Below are 7,088 nucleotides of genomic sequence, written 5' to 3'. Positions count from 1 at the left end.
CTGGCACCAACCTTCCTGCTCCCTGCTGGGGCCTCTGCTCCCCCATCTCTCAGGAGTCGAAAGTGAGAAAGCAAGGTGGGCAGCTCTGCTCCAGGTCCAGGTATCTCCCGCCCACCTCCTGCCCGTCCTCTATCCCACCCCTCCTCTCCATCTCTCCCTGGCGCTGCCATCTCTCATCTAGGCCTCCGTCTCCTCTGTCATTGTCCCCATCCCCTGTAGGTGCCCATCCTTCCCGTCTCCCCTCTGCCATCGGCCTGCCTGTCCCATCCTCTTTCTCCCACCATGTCCCGTTCTCTTCCACGTCTCATGCCCGCACTGCCTTCATCATCATCGCTGTTGTTCTGTGTGTGTTTGTGGTGAGTGCCGCATGGTGGGGGCGTCTCGGCCTCTCTCCTCTCTCTCCACTGTTTTCTCTTTCTGTGTGTCTGTTTCCATTCTATCTCCACCTTCTTCCCTCCGTCTTTTGCTTTTCTATCTCCACTTCTCCACACCCCTCTCTCCCTGCGTCTCTGTGTCTCCCTCTTCCTCTGTCTTGTTTTTTTCCCACCGTCTGCCTCTTCTGTTCCCTGTCACATCCAACTTCCACCGGTTTCTCCAGCTCTCTCCTCAGTTCCTTCTCTCATGAGCACACCTGCCTCTGTGCTCGTATTCCTGGACTCCTCTCTCTCCACTGTCATATCTTCTCATTCATTTTCCCAGTCTCTCTCTGTCTCTTGCTCTCCCCCTCTCTGTCACTCTGTCTCTGTCTCTCTCTTTCTCTCTCTCTCTCTGTGTCTCTCTGTCTGGCTCTCTCTCTGTCTCTCTCTCCATCTCTCTCTCTCTCTCCCCCCCGTCACCCTGTCTCTGTCTCTCTCTGTCTGTGTGTCTCTCTGTCTTTCTCTCTCTCCATCTCTCTCTGTCTCTCTCTCTCTCTCTCTCTCTCTCCCTCTCTCCCTCCTCCCGTGACTCCCTCTCTCAGTCCATCTCTTCCTCCCTCTCTCAGCCCCTTCGTGCCCTTTCCTCTGACACTCCCCACCCTGGTTTCCTGACTCCACCACTAGATCCACCACCTCCAGCAACTGGGAACCCTCCCCTGCCCACCCTGCCCTGGGGTCCCCTCCCAGGATTCCTTCTAGATTATAGCATCTTCCCTGGGCGGGTTCTCATGAACAATTGTGGCTGCTTTTTTGGCCAGACAGGGGAGGGAGGGGATGGGATCAGGGAGTCCTGGAATGGGAACTAGGCAATAAAAAAAAAAAAATGTCAGAAGCAGGGCGGCGGGAGGTGGGGGCAGGGCCAGCTGTCCTTACCAGGGATAAAAGGCTTTGCCAGTGTGACTAGGAAGAGAGACACCTCCCCTCCTTCCTTCATCAAGACATCAAGGAGGGACCTGTGCCCTGCTCCACATCCTCCCACCTGCCGCCCGCAGAGCCTGCAGGCCCCGCCCCCCTCGTCTCTGGTCCCTACCTCTCTGCTGTGTCTTCATGTCCCTGAGGGTCTTGGGCTCTGGGTAAGTGCCCCTTGCTGTCTCTGCCTCTCAGCCCCCGGTTCTGTTGAAGGTTCCTTCTCTCTCACTTTTTCTCTGCATTTGACAGGACCTGGCCCTCAGCCCCTAAAATGTTCCTCCTGCTGACAGCACTTCAAGTCCTGGCTATAGGTAAGAGAACGGTTGGGTATGACACAAGGGGGTCCCCTGGAGACTCTGAGAAGAGATGGGGATGGGTCCTTGGGGCCCCTGGATGCTCATGGTGACCTCATAAGAAAGAGCAGGGAGTGGTTTGGGGGTCATGGTGGGGGAACGTGCTGGAGGCCTAAATTCCTAGTTGTGGAGGTGCTAGGGAATTGTGGGGCCGGGGAGAGAGGTGTTTATAAGGTCTGGTGCAAAATACATAAGGAATCTTAGGGAACTATTAGGTCCTGAGTGGGTCATAGCAGAAAGATCACGGGGCTCTACCTGACTGTGTTAGGAAAGAAACAATGTCAGAAAGATGTTTTGTTGTCAGAGGGAAGGTGGAGAAGGATGATGGGATGGCGGGATCGTGGCATGGGGTGGCGGGATCGTGGCATGGGTGTGTGAGGTGGATGGGGGCAAGTGTGGGGCAAGAGATGGCGGATCCTTGGGGTCCCACTGAGTGGGAACGTTGGGGAGGAGACAGGGAGGTCCTTGAATGTGTTGGGGAAGGACTCATTGGGGGGAAATGTGGCATATTTCGAGAAGTGATCACAGAAATTATGGGAGCATAGAGCTAAGGGTCGTAGATGTAGCAAGGCCCTGGATAAGGTGGCCACGGCACAAAATAAGAGATGCTACGGAGGTGACTTGGGAGGTGAGTCAGAAAGCTCTCCGTGCTGGGGCAATAACGGGGTCAATATTGGGCATGTCTCACCCTGGGTGGGACAGATAGAGGCGGGCAGTTTAGGGGTTAGACCAAAAGGAAGGGGATTTGTCAGTTTTGGAATCCTACAAACTTGTGGAGTGGAGAGTGTTTGCTCATCTACTTTCCCCACCCAATCCTGTCCACTCCTAGCCATGACACAGAGCCAAGAGGATGAGAACAAGATAATTGGTGGCCATACGTGCACCCGGAGCTCCCAGCCGTGGCAGGCGGCCCTGCTGGCGGGTCCCAGGCGCCGCTTCCTCTGCGGAGGCGCCCTGCTTTCAGGCCAGTGGGTCATCACTGCTGCTCACTGCGGCCGCCCGTAAGTGACCCCCTCCCCTGTCCCTGTACCTAGTGAATTCCAGAGTCTAAAGCCCTAGAGCTGAGCTGAGAACCTGGATCTCTGTATAGAACCCAATGTAGTGGCTGGCTCCTGGTTTGAGGTCTAGAGAAGAGCCTGGAACAAAAACACAGCTCGGGATGTGGGCTCCTCCATAAATCTCGAACTCAGCATAGGTTCTGAAAGCAGATGGGCAGCTTGGAACCCATGGACCTGCTGAGAACCGAACATCTGATCCAGTGATTCTTCCAGAGGCCACACATTACATCGAGACCAAGCTTAGCCCATTCCAGATTGGTGGCTGAATTCAGGACCCCGTCTACATTCAGAAACTCAGGACACTACGTAGAACTCAGAGCCCAGTTCAGGACCTGCAGTCTAGCCATAAATCCAGAACTAGAACGCTGCTCACAGCTGGAACATACAACTCTAAGAATAGAGGCAAAACCTGGAGGCTGTTTCACACCCAAGGTTTAGTTCAGAGTCTAGTCTATAGCTCCGCTATGAGCAGACTTCAACCCAGTGTTTGAATCCCAGAATGTGGCGGGTGCGGTGGCTCATGCCTATAATCCTAGCACTTTGGGATGCTGAGGCAGGCAGATCACCTGAGGTCAGGAGTTCGAGACCAGCCTGAGCAACATAGAGAAACCCTGTCTCTACTAAAAATGCAAAATTAGCCAGGCATGGTGGCACATGCCTGTAATCCCAGCCACTCGGGAGGCTGAGGCAGGAGAATCACTTGAACCTGGGAGGCGGAGGTTGCAGTGAGTCAAGATCGCACCATTGCACTCCAGGCTAGGCAACAAGAGCGAAACTCCATATCAATCAATCAATCAATAAATCCCAGAATGCAGATCCTAATCAGAAGCCCCATATAAAACCTAGACCCCTCCTAAATTCTAGATCTGAACTTACAACCCAGACCCCAGCCAAGAGGTCAAAATGCCTATAAGCCATATCTATGCCATAAACAGGTCAGTCTAGAACCTAGAGATCAAAGCTCAGGCCAGAGTCTAGAATATAAAGGCCAGAATGCAAACCAGACTCTAGAATCTTGGATCCGGGCCATAACCTAGAGCTCCAACTAGAACCCAGAGCCCAACCTGAGGTCAAGGGCTAGGGCCAGAGTCCAGAACCAAGAGCCCTATAATCCAATATGAAACAGACCTGTAGAGGCTGGGTGCGGTGGCTCACGCCTGTAATCCCAGCACTTTGGGAGGCTGAGGCGGGAGAATCACTTGAACTGGGAGTTGGAGGTCGAGAGTGAGCTGAGATCGTGCCACTGCACTCCAGCCTAGGTGACAGAGCGAGACTCCATCACAAAAAAAAAATAAATAAATAAATCAAGTCATAATCCAGGTTCGATCTAGAATCCTGATCTTAGCATAGAGTCAAAAGTTTAAGATGTCTAGAACTCAGAACCCAGGCTAGAAACAGAATGGTGCCTACTCCGGAATATCAGTTCCGATTTAGAGCCTAGACTCATAACGCAGTTTCGCTTAGGACTCAATGCACCGAGCCCAGCACAGACCCTGGCACGGAGCCAAGCTCTCCCAATCATCACCTTCTTCCCAAGCCAGGAGCTGGAGCCCAGCCCAAGAGCGGAAGGAGAGGCAGCTGGGGCTGGGCCGAGAGAATGCCCTGGCCATGGGGAAGGGCACAGGAGGCCAAGAATGCTCGGCCTGCAGTTAGTGAGAAGCAGGCTAGACCTCGGGGAAGACTCGTCACCCGGCCAGGGAACCGGGCTGGAGGGTGGGGAGGAGTCTCTGGCTCAGACCCTGAGCAGCGCTTCTCTTGGGGGTCGTGGCCAGGATCCTTCAGGTTGCCCTGGGCAAGCACAACCTGAGGAGGTGGGAGGCCACCCAGCAGGTGCTGCGCGTGGTTCGTCAGGTGACGCACCCCAACTACAACTCCCGGACCCACGACAACGACCTCATGCTGCTGCAGCTACAGCAGCCCGCACGGATCGGGAGGGCAGTCAGGCCCATTGAGGTCACCCAGGCCTGTGCCAGCCCCGGGACCTCCTGCCGAGTGTCAGGCTGGGGAACTATATCCAGCCCCATCGGTGAGGACTCCTGCGTCTTGGAAAGCAGGGGACTGGGCCTGGGCTCCTGGGTCTCCAGGAGGTGGAGCTGGGGGGACTGGGGCTCCTGGGTCTGAGGGAGGAGGGGCTGGGCCTGGACTCCTGGGTCTGAGGGAGGAGGGGGCTGAGGCCTGGACTCCTGGGTCTCAAGGAGGAGGAGCTGGGCCTGGACTCATACGTCTGAGGGAGGAGGGGCTGGAGCCTGGACTCCTGGGTCTCAAGGAGGAGGGGCTGGGCCTGGACTTCTGGGTCTGAGGGAGGAGGGGCTGGGGACCTGGACTCCCGGGTCTGAGGGAGGAGGGACTGGGGGTCTGGACTCCTGGGTCTGAGGGAGGAGGGGCTGGGGGCCTGGACTCCTGGGTCTGAGGGAGGAGGTGCTGGGGCTGGACTCCTGGGTCGGAAGGAGGAGGGGCTGGGGGCCTGGACCCTTGGGTCTTATGGGAGGGTAGACCCAGTTATAACCCTGCAGTGTCCCCCAGCCAGGTACCCCGCCTCTCTGCAATGCGTGAACATCAACATCTCCCCGGATGAGGTGTGCCAGAAGGCCTATCCTAGAACCATCACGCCTGGCATGGTCTGTGCAGGAGTTCCCCAGGGCGGGAAGGACTCTTGTCAGGTAAGGCCCAGGATGGGAGCTGTGGTAGGGATTATTTGGGACTGGGATTTAAGCAAATGATGTCAGGAGCATGGAAGTCTGCAGAGGTCTTCAGAAGAGAGTGAACCGCAGGCACAGAGAGATTCCGATAGCCAGGCCACCCTGCTTCCTAGCCCTGTGCCCCCTGGGTAATGGACTCAGAGCATTCATGCCTCAGTTTCCTCATCTGTCAGGTGGGAGTAACCCTCTTAGGGTAGTTGGTGGAATGGGATGAGGCAGGTTGGGGAAAGATCGCAGAGTGGCCTCTGCTCATATGGGTCTGGGAAAGGCTGTGCTGAGGCTTCTAGAAATCTTAATGCATCCTTGAGGGAGGCAGAGATGGGGAAATAGAAAAAGAGAGACACACAAATGTTCTACAGTTGGAGCGAACAGAGAGGGGCCTGGTGAGATTCAAGGGACAGGCAGGTGCACACAGAGACAGAGCCAGACCCAGCGGAGAGGGAAGGAAGTGCCCCGACCTCCGGGGCTGAGACCTCAGAGCTGGGGCAGGACTGTGTCCCTAACTGTCCACCAGTGTCTCTGCCTGTCTCCCTGTGTCTGCTTCTCGGGTTCTCTGTGCCATGGTGGCTCTGGCTACCTGTCCATCAGTGTCTCCATTTCTGTTCCTCCCCCTCAGGGTGACTCTGGGGGACCCCTGGTGTGCAGAGGACAGCTCCAGGGCCTCGTGTCTTGGGGAATGGAGCGCTGCGCCCTGCCTGGCTACCCCGGTGTCTACACCAACCTGTGCAAGTACAGAAGCTGGATTGAGGAAACGATGCGGGACAAATGATGGTCTTCACGGTGGGATGGACCTCGTCAGCTGCCCAGGCCCTCCTCTCTCTACTCAGGACCCAGGAGTCCAGGCCCCAGCCCCTCCTCCCTCAGACCCAGGAGTCCAGGCCCCCAGCCCCTCCTCCCTCAGACCCGGGAGTCCAGGCCCCCAGCCCCTCCTCCCTCAGACCCAGGAGTCCAGGCCCCAGCCCCTCCTCCCTCAGACCCGGGAGTCCAGGCCCCCAGCCCCTCCTCCCTCAGACCCAGGAGTCCAGGCCCCAGTCCCTCCTCCCTCAGACCCAGGAGTCCAGGCCCCCAGCCCCTCCTCCCTCAGACCCAGGAATCCAGGCCCAGCCCCTCCTCCCTCAGACCCAGGAGCCCCAGTCCCCCAGCCCCTCCTCCTTGAGACCCAGGAGTCCAGGCCCAGCCCCTCCTCCCTCAGACCCAGGAGCCCCAGTCCCCAGCATCCTGATCTTTACTCCGGCTCTGATCTCTCCTTTCCCAGAGCAGTTGCTTCAGGCGTTTTCTCCCCACCAAGCCCCCACCCTTGCTGTGTCACCATCACTACTCAAGACCGGAGGCACAGAGGGCAGGAGCACAGACCCCTTAAACCGGCATTGTATTCCAAAGACGACAATTTTTAACACGCTTAGTGTCTCTAAAAACCGAATAAATAATGACAATAAAAATGGAATCATCCTAAATTGTATTCATTCATCCATGTGTTTACTTTTTATTTTTTGAGACAAGGTCTTGCTCAGTCTCCTGGTGAAATGCTGTAACGCAATCATAGCTCACTGCAACCGTGACCTCCTGGGCTCCAGTGATCCTCTTACCTCAGCCTCCCGAGTAGCTGGGACCACAGGTGCCCGTCACCATGCCCCGCTACTTTTTAAATTTTGT

At 56.4% G+C, this 7,088-nt stretch overlaps 1 protein-coding gene across 5 annotated transcripts; it reads left to right on the top strand.

The window, feature by feature from the left end:
* On the top strand, nucleotides 1-6,717 carry KLK14 (kallikrein related peptidase 14). Of its 5 annotated transcripts, NM_001311182.2 has the most exons (8): nucleotides 1-75; nucleotides 1,355-1,489; nucleotides 1,575-1,636; nucleotides 2,508-2,679; nucleotides 4,509-4,762; nucleotides 5,260-5,396; nucleotides 6,052-6,215; nucleotides 6,691-6,717. In NM_001311182.2, exons 3-7 carry the CDS (start codon nucleotides 1,597-1,599, stop codon nucleotides 6,202-6,204), a joined length of 756 nt encoding a protein of 251 aa, NP_001298111.2. In that variant the 5' UTR covers nucleotides 1-75; nucleotides 1,355-1,489; nucleotides 1,575-1,596; the 3' UTR covers nucleotides 6,205-6,215; nucleotides 6,691-6,717. The 5 variants fall into 5 exon arrangements, 4 of the variants coding, with proteins under 4 accessions (NP_001298111.2, NP_071329.3, NP_001356704.1 ...); NM_022046.6 differs by lacking the exon at nucleotides 6,691-6,717 and having other exon boundaries at nucleotides 6,052-6,237; NM_001369775.2 differs by lacking the exons at nucleotides 1-75; nucleotides 6,691-6,717 and having other exon boundaries at nucleotides 1,324-1,489; nucleotides 6,052-6,314.
* Nucleotides 6,718-7,088: the final 371 nt, after the last annotated feature.

Source organism: Homo sapiens, chromosome 19 (assembly GCF_000001405.40).
Source record: "Homo sapiens chromosome 19, GRCh38.p14 Primary Assembly".
Classification (NCBI taxonomy): domain Eukaryota; kingdom Metazoa; phylum Chordata; class Mammalia; order Primates; family Hominidae; genus Homo; species Homo sapiens.
This window is presented reverse-complemented; position numbering and strand designations above follow the sequence as displayed.